The 16,831-nt window shown below is 47.6% G+C and overlaps 2 annotated features.

The window, feature by feature from the left end:
• Window positions 9,118-9,307: an enhancer, noted in NCBI's record as "active region_26116". NCBI's record gives its function as "activates an Ori minimal core promoter by ATAC-STARR-seq in GM12878 lymphoblastoid cells {active_cell/tissue: GM12878}" and the evidence as "EXISTENCE:reporter gene assay evidence [ECO:0000049][PMID:35858748]".
• Window positions 15,561-16,093: an enhancer, noted in NCBI's record as "OCT4-NANOG hESC enhancer chr7:71204691-71205223 (GRCh37/hg19 assembly coordinates)". NCBI's record gives its function as "activates a minimal SCP1, AML or CMV promoter by ChIP-STARR-seq in naive H9 embryonic stem cells {active_cell/tissue: H9 hESC(naive)}" and the evidence as "EXISTENCE:reporter gene assay evidence [ECO:0000049][PMID:30033119]".

A 16,831-nucleotide genomic window follows, 5' to 3' on the forward strand; every position in this document is an offset into this window, starting at 1 on the left:
GCCCCTCGATCTTTACGGAGGACATAGCCACTGCTTTCCATTGGTGTCTTGGGAAGAACTTGCTGTTGTGTTATTGTTTTGCTTTGTTTTAAGATATCTGCTTTTTAAAAGAATTTCCCAGAGGGGTGAAGAAGTTGAGCACCAGAGACCAGATGGGGAAGGTGACTATTTCTCTCAAATACAGGGAAGGCTTTTGGTTTTGTTTGGGATTGTTTTGTTTGTTTTGTTTTTATTGCTTTCCCTGGATTTATCTTGTGGGTATGCTGATTTATCAGGCTGCTGTTAACTGCATTGCCTGGGGATATTTTCTGATAGGGTAGATTCAAGCATGGTGCCCAGTGAGGAGGGCAGAAAAGGATAATTGTCACTGTTAACCATAAGTACCACCATGATTTGAGCACTTCCTATGTGCCAGGCACTATGCAAAGGGTTTTTTGTTTTTGTTTTTTTTAAACAGAGTTTTGCTCTGTCACCCAGGCTGGAGTGCAGTGGTGTGATCTCGGCTCACTGCAACCTCTGCCTCCCAGGTTCAAGCGATTCTCCTGCCTCAGCCTCCTGAGTACCTGGGACTAACAGGCGCGTGCCACCACACCTGGCTAATTTTTTTTTTTTTTTTTTTTTGTATTTTTAGTAGAGAGGGGGTTTCACCATGTTGGCTTGGATGGTCTCCATCCCTTGACCTTGTGATCCACCTGCCTCAGCCTCCCAAACTTCTGGGATTACAGGCATGAGCCACCACACCCGGCCTGCATAGTTTTTTATAAGCACCTTCTCTTTTCATCCTCCCAGCAAGCTTATGGGCAGGTGCTATCATTTTCTCTTTATAGATGGGAACACTGAAACTCAGGGAGATTAATAACCTGTCTCAATATCACATAGTCTGTACCTGGCAGGTTTGGGTTTCAGACCTCAGTCTATCTCACTCAGATCTCTTGTTCTGGGCTGGGCATGGTGGCTCATGCCTGTCATCCCAGCACTTTGGGAGGCCAAGGCAAAAAGGTCAGTTGAGGCCAGGAGTTCAAGACCAGCCTGGGCAACATAGCAAGACCCTGTCTTTACCTTAAAGAAAAATCTCTTGTTCGGTACCACTAGGCTATACTGCCTGCCATGTGACTTTGCTTTGCTGTCCCTGTTCTAACATGAAAACCTTAGATGAGAGAGGAGGAGGGGAGTGAGGATCTGCAGGAATATGTCTAGATACATTGCTGTGGACCCTTAAATGCTAAAGGAGCAGAGATTCATTGGTGTGTGTGTGTGTGTGTGTGTGTGTGTGTGCGCGCGCGCGCGCGTGCGCGCACATGCACTCAGGCCCTGGGAGGAGCTTCATTCCAAAGGAAAAAACAACTGCTTTACAACAGCCAAGTGCTGTCTCAACCTCCAACCTCCTGTCACACTTCTGCGTCTGTCTTTCACCTTAAAGTGCCAACAAATGTGCACTTTAAGGATTCTCAAAGAGTGACGAGTTCTCCCTGAAATAGCTCAGAGAGTCCTCCGTAGGCTGAGAAAATAGTCTGACTCACGTGAGATTAAAAAGTTTTTTGGTAAATTGCAAAATAATTAAGAAGTTCATTCAAGAAAAAATGATAGTTCAGGTAAGTAATAATGGAAATAAAATAGCATCAATAATCCTACCACCCGGAGAGATTTAAACTACGGTTTTACGTCATTCTGAACCTCCTTTCCCGCTAAGACTTGCGTGTAGATGCATACAACCTCATATACATACATGATACGCAACAGGGTCAGGACACAATTACCTTTAATGGAATAACTTTGAGTTCCTGCATTTTCGTCATCAAAACCAGCTGTACTAGGCCGGGCGCGGTGGCTCACGCCTGTAATCCCAGTACTTTGGGAGGCTGAGGTGGGCGGATCACGAGTTCAGGAGATGGAGACTATCCTGGCTAACACGGTGAAACCCATCTCTACTAAAAATACAAAAAATTAGCCAGGCGTGGTGGCGGGGGCCTGTAGTCCCAGCAACTCGGGAGGCTGAGGCAGGAGAATGGTGTGAACCCAGGAGGCGGAGCTTGCAGTGGGCAGAGATCGTGCCACTGCACTCCAGCCTGGGCGACAGAGCAAGACTCCGTCTCAAAAAATAATAATAATAATAAATAAATAAACCAGCTGTACTAATGCAAACTAGAGGAGCTAGGGCTGAGCGAGCATCTGATATAAAATGAGATAGGCTTTATTTAAGTTGCATCAATGAGTCAGCAGTTTCCATAAGAAGCCTATGGGGTCTTAGGGTAGAAAATCCAGGATAAAGTCCTGGTGTGTGGCTCATGCGTGTAGTTCTAGCACCTTTAGAGGCCAGGGTGGGAGGACCACTTGAGGCCAGGAGTTTGAGACCAGGAGTTTGAGGCAACATAGCAAGACCCTTTCTCTACAAAAAATTTAAAAATTACCCAGGCATGGTGGCGAATGCCATATAGTCCCAGGTACTGCAGAGACTGAGGCAGGAGGATTGCTTGAGCCCAGGAGTTCAAGGCTACAATGAGCTATGATCACACTACTACACTCCAGCCTGGGCAACAGAGCAAGACCCTGTGTGTTAGTCCATTCTCACACTGCTGTAAAGAACTACTCGAGACTGGGTAGTTTATGAAGAAAAGATATTGACTCACAGATGCACCTACAGGAAGCTTGGTTGGGAGGCCTCAGGAAACTTACAATCACGGTGGAAGGTGAAGGAAAAGCAGGCACGTCTTTCCATGACTGGAGCAGGAAAGAGAGAGAGACAGTGAAGGGGGAAGTGCCACACACTTTTAAACAACCAGATCTCGTCAGAACTCACTCAGTATCATGAGAACAGCAAGGGGGAAATCCGCCCCCATGATCCAATCACCTCCCACCTGCTTCTTCCCCCAACATTGAGAATTACAATTCAACATGGGATTTGGGTGGGGACACAGAGCCAAACCATACCACTCTGCCTCAAAAATAAGAAGAAGAAAAGAAAACCCAGGAGGCACCTTGAAGTCCACTCAAAGGAGAACAGCTGGGGTGTTAATGAGCCTGGAAGTCACATCTTAACAATGAAGAAATCAAGAACCAAGTGCGTTGGGCTGGGGGGAATCTGACTTGGGCAGATCATCATCAGTGCCTTGAACAATCAGTGGGCCATGGTGGGGGTGTGTGTGCAGACGAGAACATCATTGGGAGATATGAATTTGTTCTTTATGACCTAGAGAATGGGAGTGGGACCAAATGGATGGAAGCCAGGCGATGGTTTTGACTCAATGAAAGAACCTGTTTTCTAACAGAGCCATGCTCCCAAAGCTGGGATGGAGGTTTCAGGAGGGAGGGAGCCCTGTGTGCCTGGAGAGGTTCAAGCCTTGACTGCTACTGCTAGTCCCATGCCTATGTGACCCCACTGTTCTTAGGTGACCCTTCTGACAGCTCCCTGTCCCAGCATCCAAGTGCTGATAAGAATGTGAGCTGTGTGCTCAGGTGACAGAAATGAGTGTCCAAGAGCCTTCTTTTCAAGGAGATGTGCACAGCAGCTGGGAGATGAAAGCTGTATTTGTTACATGTCACTTGTAGAGAGGAGAACCAGACTTGACAGTTCAAAGTTTATTTAACTGGATGACTCTCAAAGGGGAAAAGAAAACACACTATTTATTTTAAAAAAATACTTAATATTTAATCATGGGCAAATTCAAATGTGCCTTCCCAAGTCTTTTGTTTCAAGAAAATGCAACAGGCGTATTTTAGGTCTAGCAGACGGAGAAGAAATGATCATAGACTCTTGGCTGTTTCAAAATTTCTTCTTGAGAAGAAGCAAATCTCATATATAGAAGATTTCCAAATAAATTATGTAGTTACTTTATGTAAAGGAGGGGAAACACAGCTCTTCACTCCTTAAGTGTGGGCTGTACATAGTGGCTTTCTTCCTAAGAATGCCCTATGAAAAGGTAGAAAAAAAGGTTTACCGCGGAGAAAGCTGACAAACGCTGTGTTAGCCGGGTGATCAAAGTCAGCATCAGCTGTCAAAAATCTTGTCCATAACATGTCCCATTGATGCGATGTGATGAAAATTGTACTTCCCCTCTGCAATCTTCCTCCCCAAAATCCATAACTACAGTTCAATCATGAGAGAAACATCAGACAAATTACAATACAGGGGCACCCTACAAAATATCCGACCAGTACTCCTTAAAACATCAAGGTCATTAAAAACAAGAAAAGCTTGAGAAAAATGTCACCTCTTAGCCAAGAGGCACCTATGGAGACGTGACAAATAAATGTCATGTAGTATCCTGAATGGGATTTGGAACTGAAAAAAAGGATATGAGGATTCACGAAAATCTGAACAAGCAATAGGCTTCAGTTAATAACGATGTATCATTCAGCTTGGCAAACATGGTGAAACCCTGTCTCTACTAAACATGCAAAAATTAGCTGGGCGTGGTGGCATGTGCCTGTAATCCCAGCTACTTGGGAGGCTGAGGCGGGAGAATCGCTTGAACCCGGGAGGTGGAGGTTGCAGTGAGCCGAGATTGCACCACTGCGCTCTAGCCTGGATGACAGAGTGAGACTCTGTCTTAAAAAAAAAAAAAGATTTATCAGTATTGGTTTATTAATTCTAACAAATATATCTAACCCGTGTAAGATTTTTATGATAGGGGAAGTTTGTGTGTGTGGTTGCGGGGGATAAATTATGAGAACTCTTTCTACGATCTCAGTCAATTTTTCTGTAAATCTAAAACTGTTCTAAAATAAAGTCTAATACTAATTTTAAAAAACATTCCATGGGCATTGTCTCATGCAATCATGTCAGGCAGCCCTGGCCAATTCTGGATGCCTGGGTCTGAGAAGTGGTCATCCATTTGCCCAAGAGATATCACTGCCATTTTCTAACACTGGGCCATTATTAGCTATAACAAAGGAGCCAGTGGCCTTGGGGTGTTCTTCTCAGCAGAGCCATAAAAGTGCAGTGATACAGACACTTTAGTCAATACCATTAATAGCTATTACAGAAAAGCCAATTGGGACTTGGATCTGTGGGAATCCATCTTTCTGCTCCCTTAGAGAATAAGAGGATGTGTCAGAGACTGCTGGCTGCCTACCCAAGTTCCCCTTCTTCTTGAGTTGGATAATTCTACCCCATATTGCTGTGTTCCGCAATGCATGCAGCTGGAAAACCACAGTTCCTGGCCTCCCTTGCAGACAGGGGTGGCCAATGAGAGGTAAGTGGATGTCATTGGGTTGAATTATGGGAATGCTCTTTAAAGAGGATAATTCAGCTGGGTGATACACCCTTTGGCCCTTGCCTTCTCTTTTTACTGCTGCCTGGAATACAGACATAATGGCTGGAGCTGCAGCAACCATCTTGCAAACTATTTTGCAAAGATAAAAGTGGCTTTGAAATGGTGCAGTAGAAATATCAAGGCTCAGCCTGGCACAGTGGCTCACGCCTGTAATCCCAGCACTTTGGGAGGCCGAGGTGGGAGGATCACGAGGTCAGGAGATCGAGACCATCCTGGCTAACACAGTGAAACCCCGTCTCTACTAAAAATACAAAAAATTAGCCAGGCGTGGTGGCAGGCACCTATAGTCCCAGCTACTTGGGAGGCTGAGGCAGGAGAATGGCGTGAACCCGGGAGGTGGAGCTTGCAGTGAGCCAAGATCACGCCACTGCACTCCAGCCTGGGCGACAGAGTGAGACTCCGTCTCAACAAAAAGAAAAAAAAAAGAAAGAAATATCAAGGCTCCTGATGAAGCTACCATACTAACTCTGGCTTTGCCTACTTAAGAGTTTCTTTACAAGAGAGAAAAATAAAGTGGAAAATGAACCTTTGGTTTATGCCAGTCATCTGGATTTCTTCATATGCCATTGAACATCATCTTTATTGCTCCAGGAGCAGATTTCTGCTGATTCAGAAACAGTGTAGTCTAAAATTCGGGTACAATGGTTTGACCTGAAGATGAAGATGTAGTGTTGGGTGGAAACATTCCGGAGCTCATAATTTTGTAGGTGAGTTAGAAATAAATCAACCACTGCCCCACACAAAAGCCACTCACTGAAGCAGATCAAACACTCTGTCAAATCTACAGCCTGAGTAGAAGCAGGCCAGAGGAGAGAAGATTCTCCCAGGCTGTGGTTAGGCAGCATGAGGACACATGGGCCACGTACGAGATGAAAAAAGGATTGGGAGGCTGAGGTAGGTGGATCACAAGGTCAGGAGTTTGAGATCAGCCTGGGCAACATGGTGAAACCCCGTCTCTACTAAAAAAAATATAAAAAATTAGCCGGACATGGTGGCAGGTGCCTGTAATCCCAGCTACTTGGGAGGCTGAGGCAGGAGAATTGCTTGAACCCAGGAGGCGGAGGTTGCAGTGAGCCAAGATCGCACCATCGCACTCCAGCCCAGGCAACAGTGCGAGACTCCATCTCAAAAAAAAAAAAAGAAAAAGAAAAAGAAAAAGAAAAAGGAAAGAACTTCTCAGTAGACAAGTCCCTGACAATTTCAGTGTCAGGAGAGGTGACATGGAGACGAAGAACCTAGGTAGGGCCAGACTCCCTAGGGCCAATATATATTGAGTAGTTTGAGGCTAGGCCTATACTATGCATTCTAAGATTGGAGCCACCATCAGTAGATATAGCTCTCAATCTCCTTAGAAAGTAAGTGGAAACATGCGATATAATTTTCCCCAAGAGAGGCCAGGCACAGTGGCTCATGCCTGTAATCCCAGCACTTTGGGAGGCCTAGGTGGGCAGATCACTTGAGGTCAGGAGTTTGAGACCAGCCTGGCCAACATGGTGAAACCTTACCTCTACTAAAAATACAAAAAAATTAGCTGGGTGTGGTGATGTGCACCTATTATCTCAGCTACTTGGGAGACTGAGGCAGGAGAATCACTTGAACCTGGGAGGTGAAGGTTGCAGTGAGCCGAGATCTCACCACTGCACTCCAGCCTGGATGACACAGCAAGACTCCATCTCAAAAAAATATATAATAATAATAATAACTTTCCCCAAAAGAATGTGAGTAGATATCACAGGTAGCTCTTTGGGGCTGCGCTTTTGTGGGGTGACTTTGCCTTGACCACGCTCCCTTTCTCCTTCTGGGCTGGATGCAGAAAACAACAGGGCCTTAGGGGATGGTAGAGCCATAAGGGGGAAGGAATCTAAGTCCCTAAATATCTGAATGAAAGAGACCCTCCTCATTGACCTGAATACCAAACCAGGATTGTTTTGTTGAGCCATTTCATGTCTGGGGTTATTTGTTACTGCACTTTAGCCTGCTCTAGCTATAACACAACATCTTTTACATATTGTGTTAGTTATCTATTTCTGCATAATAAATTCTCCCAAAATCCAGTGACTTAAAACAACAGCATTTATCACCTCATAGTCTCTGGGGGTCATCTCCTGAAGGCAGCTTTGGGGAGTCCTTTGCTTCAGGGGCTCTCCCAGGCTGCAATTAAGATGTCGGGTACAGCTGGAGACATTTGAAAGCTCAACTGAGGGAAGATTCCTTTCCAAGATTCACGATTGTTGGGATGATTCAGTTGGCCTGAGACCCTCTGTTCTTTACTGGCTGTTGGCCAGAGGCCAGAGGCCTGAGTTCCTCACCATGTGGGCCTCTTTGTAGGGCAGCTCATGACAGTACAGTTTCATCAAAGCACGTGAGCAAGGAGCACCTTTGAGAAGAGCTGGCCCGACGGAAATCAATTTTGTGTAGCCAAATCTCAGAAGTGAAATCCCATACTTTTGCCATAATCTTTTTGCTAGAAGTGAGTCTCTCAGTTTGGCCCATCGCAAAGGGAGGGGATTATAGAGGGGTGTGAACAACAAGAGGCAGCCGTCGCTGGGAGCCATTTCAAAAGCTGTCTACAGGCAGGGCAGGACGACTCACGCCTGTAATCCCAGCACTCTGGGAGGCCAAGGTGGGCAGATTGCTTGAACTTAGGAGTTTGAGACCAGCCTGGACAACATAGTGAGACCTCGTCTCTACAAAAAATACAAAAAATTAGCCAGGTGTGGTGGCGTATGCCTGTGGTCCCAGCTACTCGGGAGGCTGAGGTTGGAGGACCGCTTGAGTCCAGGGAATCCAGGCTGCAGCGAACCATGATAGCACCACTGCAGTCCAGCCTGTGCGACAGAGCAAGACCATCTCAAAAAACAAACTAAAACAAATCAAAAACCCCACACTGTCTTCCACACATAGTAGTCTCACAAGACCCCTGTTTAGATACAAGATTTAATCTAATTTGGAGAGGCCCATTTAAACAAGGAAACAGACCCAGAGAGGTTCAGTACCTTATCCCAGGTGACTCGGGTCATTGGTGGTAGAAGGAGAATGTTCTGTGAGATGCTAGCACCTGTGGATTTGCACACCACCACCTACAATGCAGGCTGCATTGTGCCCTGTGGTGAGTCTGCCTGGAGGAGGAGTCACAAAAGGGCCTGCAGTATTTGACTATGGAAGCAATTATTAAAGAGGCTGCCCACCCACTGCAATCCCTGCGGATTCCCGGATTTCATGAGCTGCAGGGCTGGCCTCCAGCCTCAAAGAGCTGCAGGCCTAGGAGAAAATCATGAGTGTGTGTGTGTGTGTGTGTGTGTGTAACAGAGAGAGGGAGAGGGAAAAGGAGAAAGAGGCAGAAAGGGACAGGAGAGATGAAAAGAGATAAAGAGATACAGAGAAACAAGTACAGAGTGACAGGGAGAAATAAATAAGGAATTAGAAAAATAGAGACAAGAGAGAAATATTTACAGAGAAAGCCAAAGAGAGTGGAAGGAAGGGAGGAAGGAAGGAAAGATAAAAGAGGGAAAGAAGGATAAAAAGAAAGAAAAGGGAGAAGGAGAAAGAAAAGGAAGGAGAGAGGAAAGTAGGAAGGAAAGAGGGAAGAAAAATGAAGGAGGGAAGGAGGGAGGGAGGGAGCAAGGGAAGGAGGGAGGGAAGGAGCAAGGGAAGGAGGGAGGGAGGGAGCAAGGGAAGGAGGGAGGGAGGGAGGGAGAGGGAGACACAGGGAGTGCCAGTCTTGCAAGGGAGGGGTGCGGGCTGGCTCTCCCAGCACCTGCAGGCGCAGCGCCCCCGCTGGAAATCTGAACTGCATTCTGGTCGTGGCTTCCCCCTAATGTCCTACCTAACCTGTTGAAGGGAATGCAAATTTTAAGGTATACAGCGACAGCAAGCTGTGAAGCGGCCTAGGCTGCCCAAGGCTAGGTCTGGCCGGGTGTTTGGAGCACCCGCAGGCCCCCCGAGGAGGGAGGCGCCCTGAGCAGGTGTCTGCTCCTTGGACGTCCCGCGCGGGAGCTCAGCTGGGAAGCCGGGCTCTGAAGACCGATGCTCTAGCGCCCCCTGCTGGCGCCTGGCCTTGATTCCGCTGCTTCCTTTCCCCTGAAATGAAGGAAAGCAGGAGGGTTGTGAGGCTTCATTGATTTCTCCCCGGCGGAGCAGCGATGCGGATGGGGATGAGGGGTGGTCAGAGGAGACCAGAGCTAGCGAACACGTTCCCTTCTATGACCTGGCCTGTGCTGCGACGCATGGTACCAGCCCTGGGTTGGCCTTGTACCTCCAGGCATTTGGGGGCCTTCCAGAGGCAGGAGGACGGCTTGAAACCAGGAGTTCCAGATCAGCCTGGGCAACATAGCAAGACCCCATCTCTAAAAAAAAAAAAAAAAAAAAAAAAGAATTATCTGGACATGTTGGCCCACCTGTGGTCCCAGCTACCTAGGAGGCTGAAGTGAAAAAATGCATCACTGTAAAAAAAAATCTAGAGTTTAAGACTGTGAAATGTTATTAGTCCTTTCTCACACTGCTATAAAGATATTACCCAAGAGGTGGGAGGATCACTTGAGCCCAGGAGTTCGAGGTTGCTGTGAGCTATGATGGCACCACTGCACTCCAGCCTGTGAGACAAAGTGAGAACTTGTATCTTTTCAAAAAAAAGAAAGAAAGAAAATAAATAAATAATGTATACTTTATTAGAACTATATGTACTTTTGATTAATGCATTAAATAGACCATAAGTGATGGGTCTACTCGCTATAATTTCAAAGTTGTATGAGCATCAATGTTATTACAAGATTTCTGCAGCACCTATAATTTGACAAAAAATCTGTGATTTCTGTTGGTGACAAAAGGTCAGGTTCTGTTTTGTCTACAGTGGTTTGTTGTTTACATTCATAATTAAAGGAAATGTTATCTTTCATTTAGAGGTAAACGAAACAAAGGGAATAATTTTCCCATCCAAGCTCATAGATTCCCTGAATCCTACACATGAAGCCCTGATGAGTCCCATGAACTTGTTAAGCTGCAGAGGGCTGGGCACCATGGCTCATGCCTATAATCCCAGAGCTTTGGGAGACCAAGGTGAGAGGATCACATGAGGCCAGGAGTTCGAGACCAGCCTGGGCAACATAGCGAGACCTCATCTCTATTTTTATTTTTATTTTTATTTTTATTTTTATTTTTAGAGACGGAATCTCACTCTGTCTCCCAGGCTGGAGTGCAGTAGTGCGACCTCGGCTCACTGCAGCCTCCGCCTCCCGGGTGCAAGTGATTCTCCTACCTCAGCCTCCTGAGTAGCTGGGATTACAGGTGTGCGCCACCATGCCTGGCTAACTTTTGAATTTTTAGTAGAGATGGGGTTTCACCACATTGGTCAGGCTGGTCTCAAACTCCTGACCTTGTGATCCACCCGCCTCGGCCTCCCAAAGTGCTGGGATTATAGGTGTGAGCCACCGTGCCTGGCCTTTATTTTTAAAAAATAAATAAAATTTTAAAAATAAAAGAAGCCGCCGAGGTAGCGTTCTTGCTCACATCTTACCTTGCTAGGGCACAGCAAGATGTCAGACACCATCCTCAGAGGTGAAACCCCCAAAAGTATTAAAGGCAGGTAGCAATTCAAAGTATGGATCCCCTGGTCACTAAGAATAGTAACAGTAATCCATTTTTAAAGAATAGCAACCAAAATGCCTTACATGCTGGATACCATGCAAGGGACTTTATCTCATTCCATCTGTCCACCCCAGACCTCTTAACTATCCCAGGTAACCTGACGATATCCCAGGCTCATTTCCTGGGTTATCACAGCCACCTTTCATACCTGGGTCCCTGGAGGGGGCTCAGGTCAGAAGAGGGTATGAGAGCCTGTTTGTCACCTAGGATGTGCTCCAGAGTGATTCAGCCACGCCCTGGCGAAATCTCTGCAGGGGGTTTTCTAGACTCTGTCCTGATAACAGAACCCTCCCATTTTGTCTTTGCTTTCAGCTTTCTTGATTCTAAGCTTCAAATTTTGCCATATACTGGGTCAAAGGTACGTACCTGTAATCCCAACACTTTGGGAGGCTGAGGTGGGAGGATCACTTGAGGCCAGGCATTCAAGACCAGCTTGGGCAACATAGCAAGATTCCATCTCTACAAAAATAAAAAAATTAGCCGGGCATAGTGGTGTACACTTGCAGTCCCAGCTACTCTGGAGGCTGAGGTGGGAGGATGGCTTGAGCCCAGGAGTTCGAGGCTGCAGTGAGCTAGGATTGCACCAACGCACTGTAACCTGGGCAACAGAGTGAGACTCTGTCTCAGTAAGTAAATAAATAAAATAAAATAAACGCCCACCTCTGTGGTCATATCCTTCAGATACAACAGATCAAGTCTTTGGGTTGCAGAGCAAGGATCAACTCTTGTGGCTATCACGAGAGCGCTGAGGTCATGAGCCATCCAGGAGCTGGTTAACTCTGCCCATCAGGACACTCAAGCAAAGGCCAATCCTGGTGGCCCACATCCCAAAGGCAAGCATGAGCAGGGAAACCCTAATCTGCATACAATCGCTTTTACGACAGGGCTGTGTGCTTCAGCAAAACTCTAAGTTTAAATATGGCATTCAGGGCCCCATGAACACCATAGAGAGAAATCCAGAGACAAGCCACTGAGTAGAGGAGATTTGTGCATTAAAATCTTCTTGCCACCAAGGTCCTGCCTGGGTCTCTGACGGTTTCCCATCGCCTAGGTTTCTGAAGCAAGCACTGCAGCAGTGCCATCTAGTGGGCAAAAGGCAAAGTGTCACAACTGAGAGGATCCTCCAAGAGGAAACAGAAGTTGTGGAATTCAGGGGCAAGGACACGGTTGACCTAGACTCAGCTTGACTGGACTTTAGATGGGCTTCTTGACTCTCACCCCGACCTCCCTTCTCTTCTACCATTAACTTGAAGAAACACTGCCAGGCATGGGGGGTGCGTACCTGTAGTCCCAGCTATTCAGGAGGCTGAGGCGATGAGGCAGGAGGATCGCTTGAGCCCAGCAACCACAGATGACCCAATCACAGAAAAAAACATTTGCAAACTCTGGAACAACTCAATGTACTTGGCACATCCCACCAAGCAACCTTACCCCAACATCCTCCAGGACTTTTGCACTAGGGCACCCCAGTGCTTATGCTTAGAAGCCCTCCAGCCCATGGTGTCAGCAGAGTCGGGGTTAGCTTCCCCTATCATCTTGAATAACATCTTCCTTACTGGCGTAACTCTGACTCATGCAAATTCTCTTCAACATAGCTTTTCTGAGCACCCACCCTAGAGTGAGGTCCACTCCCACACCCTCAGGATGCTTCAGAAGCAACAGAGCTCCCCTTCTCCTATTCATAAGATAGACATTCTGCCTATAGCCCCTGCTCTCCCAGGCTACCCCCGCCTCCCCCCGCCTCCCCCCACTCAGGCCCATGGTACAGAAGTCAGAAGTTTACAAAGTCAGGAACACAGCTGCCCTGGGAGAAGGTTTCATTGCCTAGGTTCTCACTGATTTTTTTTCCCCTTTTCTTTTTGAAGCTTTCTTCTGGCCAAGCGTGTTGGTTCATGCCTGTAATCCCAGCACTTTGGGAGGCTGAGGCGGGTGGATCACCTGGGGTCAGGAGTTTGAGATCAGCCTGACCAACACAGTGAAACCCCATCTCTACTAAAAATACAAAAATTGGCTGGGTGTGGTGGTGGGCACCTGTAATCCCAGCTAGCTAGGAGGCTGAGGCAGGAGAATTGCTTGAACCCAAAAGGCAGAGGTTGCAGTGAGCCAGAGATGGCGCCATTGCACTCTAGCGTGGATGACAGGAGTGAAACTCAATCTCAAAAAAACAAAAACAAAACAAAAAAACCTATCTTCTCTGTTATTCATGGGATTCCCGGTAAAAGGAGAGTAGTCAAGTGTTGAGGCCATTCCCGCATCAATGACTGTAAAGGTTTCTCAGTACACACAGAGGTTACTATTCTGAAATGCAGGCAGTAGTGTGTCCGGAATTGGTGGGTTCTTGGTCTCACTGACTTCAAGAATGAAGCCGCGGACCCTCGCGGTGAGTGTTACAGCTCTTAAGGTGGCGCGTCTGGAGTTTGTTCCTTCTGATGTTCAGATGTGTTCGGAGTTTCTTCCTTGGTCTCGCTGGCTCAGGAGTGAAGCTGCAGATCTTCGCGGTGAGTGTAACAGCTCATAAAAGCAGCGTGGACCCAAAGAGTGAACAGTAGCAAAATTTATTGCAAAGAGCAAAAGAACAAACACTCCCCACTATGGAAGACGACCCGAGGTGGTTGCCAATACTGGCTCGGGCAGCCAGCTTTTATTCTCTTATCTGGCCCCACCCACATCCTGCTGATTGGTAGAGCCGAGTGGCCTGTTTTGACAGGGCGCTGATTGGCGCGTTTACAATCCCTGAGCTAGATACAGAGTGCCGATTGGTGTATTTACAATCCCTGAGCTAGACATAAAGGTTCTCCAAGGCCCCACCAGAGCAGCTAGATACAGAGTGTTGATTGGTGCACTCACAAACCTTGAGCTAAACACAGGGTGCTGATTGGTGTGTTTACAATCCCTGAGCTAGACATAAAGGTTCTCCACGTCCCCACCAGACTCAGGAGCCCAGCTGGCTTCACCTAGTGGATCCCACACCAGGGCTGCAGGTAGAGCTGCCTGCCAGTCCCGGTGTCGTGCGCCCACACTCCTCAGCCCTTGGGCGGTAGATGGGACTGGGCGCCCTGGAGCAGGGGGCGGCGCTCGTCTGGGAGGCTCGGGCTGCACAGGAACCAACGGAGGCAGGGGAAGGCTCAGGCATGGCGGGCTGCAGTCCCGAGGCCTGCCCCGCGGGAAGGCAGCTAAGGCCCGGCGAGAAATCGAGCGCAGCGCCGGTGGGCTGGCACTGCTGGGGGACTCAGTACACCCTCCGCAGCCGCTGGCCCGGGTGCTAAGTCCCTCATTGCCTGGGGCCGGCAGGGCCGGCCGGCTGCTCCGAGTGCGGGGCCCGCCAAGCCCACGCCCACCCGGAACTCCAGCTGGCCCGCAAGCGCCGCGCGCAGCCCAGTTCCCGCTCGCGCCTTCTCCCTCCACACCTCCCTGCAAGCTGAGGGAGTCGGCTCTGGCCTTGGCCAGCCCAGAAAGGGGCTCCCACCGTGCAGTGATGGGCTGAAGGGCTCCTCAAGTGCCGCCAAAGTGGGAGCCCAGGCATAGGAGGTGCCCAGAGCAAGCGAGGGCTCTGAGGACTGCCAGCACGCTGTCATCTCTCAGTAGGGCCAAAGACTTTCTCTTCCTGGAACACCACCCACCAGCTCACTTAAAAAACATCTAAGCAACATCAGGTTTCATGGTCCCCGGTCTCACTTGTCAATCCTGAAACTTCTAAAGTTTAGGTAGCTGGAAGTTGTATTAAGAGTCATCTCTAGAGGCCAAGTACAGTGGCTCATGCCTGTAATCCCAGTGCTTTGGGAGGCCAAGGCAGGAGGATCGCTTGAGCCCAGGAGTTTGAGGCTGCAGTGAGCTATGATTGCACCACTGCACTCCAGCTTGGGCAACAGAGGGAAACCCTGTCTCTAAAAAAGAATTTAAAATGTTTAAACATAAAATAAATTTTTCCAAAAGCAAATTTGGGGCCAGGCCCGGTGGTTCACTCCTGTAATCCCAGCACTTTGGGAGGCCGACGGGGGTGGATCATGAGGTCAGGAGATTGAGACCATCCTGGCTAACACAGTGAAACCCCGTCTCTACTAAAAATACAAAAAAAATTAGCCGGGCATGGTGGTGGGCGCTTGTAGTCCCAGCTAGTCGGGAGGCTGAGGCAGGAGAATGGCATGAACCCAGGAGAGACGGAGCTTGCAGTGAGCCAAGATCGTGCCACTGCACTCCAGCCTGGGTGACAGAGCGAGACTCCATCTCAAAAAAAAAAAAAGCAAATTTGGTTAGTTAATTCAAAGTTATAACTTTTCTCTCAACTTTTCAAACATAACCATATGTAGTCTGACAGCAGGAGGCGGTGTCTCTGGCATATATGTTATCCTGGGGGTCACTGCTGGCCTCTCTTAAGATGTCTGTCATCCTGTACCCGGTGGATGGTCTCAGAGAGCAACTGTGAGTCGTGCTGGCATCAACCTCTGTTAACCAGGGGCACCCATAGTGGATGGCCACCTTGTCCTGTCCCCAGGCTTTTTCTATGTCATTGTTCCCTTCGCTGATTCCAGGTCCTTACAGTGGTGCTGGCAGAAACTTCCAGGCCCTGCACAGGCCGTGAGTAGCTGAAAGCCTCACCTGCCCCCAGGGGCCGGGCCTCTATTTCCACAGTCCTCTGGCTGCCACACGTCGGCATAGGACATTCTGCAAGGAACCTATTTTCCCACTAAATTCCAAAGCCCTCTCTGTTTCAGCTTCTACTTCTATCTTTCCACCTTTCTTCTTTCCCGCCTTCTCCAAATCTGTCCTCCACAATTCCCTAGTTGAAAGGTGAAAGGCAGCTGTCATTTCTCTGCGGGGAACGGGACCTCTTTGATATCAAAGCCTCCCAACACCAGCAGCCACAGTGAATGTCTATATTCAGACCACCCAGCATGGCTCTTGCTGTTGTAAAGAGAGGCAATTGGAATTCAGAAACCCTTTGCTCTGCCAACAAAAGCCTACAACAGCGAGTTTCCTATTGGCTCAGAAAAGTATTGTTTGAAACACAGAACTAAATGAGAATGCTTTATCCTGGGCTACATACACCCCCTCTTGGAAGCAGTGAGTCCTCTCGTTGAATAGGTGAGGGAGAGACTTGGCCCAGCTGAGAATTAGGGATAACTGATGTTAAAGTGAACTAAATATGGCCTGAGAAGGACTCCGTGTTTCTATATTTGAGTCCTTGTGGATGAACCATAACCTAACTTAATAGGTAGACAAGATTGAAAACCTAACAGGAATATGTGCCTGTAACAATAGTTGAGTCTTGGCCAATTCCAGTGGCCATGCTTCAACCAGTCATGCGCTGCTGAGTGTCCAAACTCTGTTCAAATAAGGCAAATGCCAAGCTGGATGTAACCAATTCAGCTGTTTCTGAACCTCGCTTCCGATTTCTGTATGTCACTTTTCTTTTTTAGTCTATAAATTTCTTGTGACCATGAGGCACCCCTGGGGTCTTTCCGACTCTGCTGTGATTCTGGGGGCTGCCTGATTCACAAATCATTTTCTTGCTTTCTTTTTTTTTTTTTTTTTGCTCAATTAAACTTTCTTAAATTTAATTTGTCTGGAGTTTTCTTTTAACGCTGGGAATGAAAATACGTTGGTTTATTATCTAAGAAAATGTGATCCTTTGTTAAAATTTTGCACGTATGTCCATTTTAGGGAAAGAGAAAGTTCATAGCTTTCATCAAATTTGCAGAATATCACGTTATGGAAATGTTAAGATCAGCTGTTTGTAAACCTCTATCTGGCTAGTCTTGGACAGTATAATTTGCCTTATGCTTTTAGGAAGCACATTACTGTTTCAATACATAAAAATTAATTGTGATTACTTTGTTGCGTGTTGGCGTCTCCCAGCATCTTTCTGTGACAGACAGGGCTGCATTATGGCCTGGATTGTACAGAAGAGAAAGTCA

The sequence above is a fragment of the Homo sapiens genome, chromosome 7 (assembly GCF_000001405.40).
Source record: "Homo sapiens chromosome 7, GRCh38.p14 Primary Assembly".
Classification (NCBI taxonomy): Eukaryota; Metazoa; Chordata; class Mammalia; order Primates; family Hominidae; genus Homo; species Homo sapiens.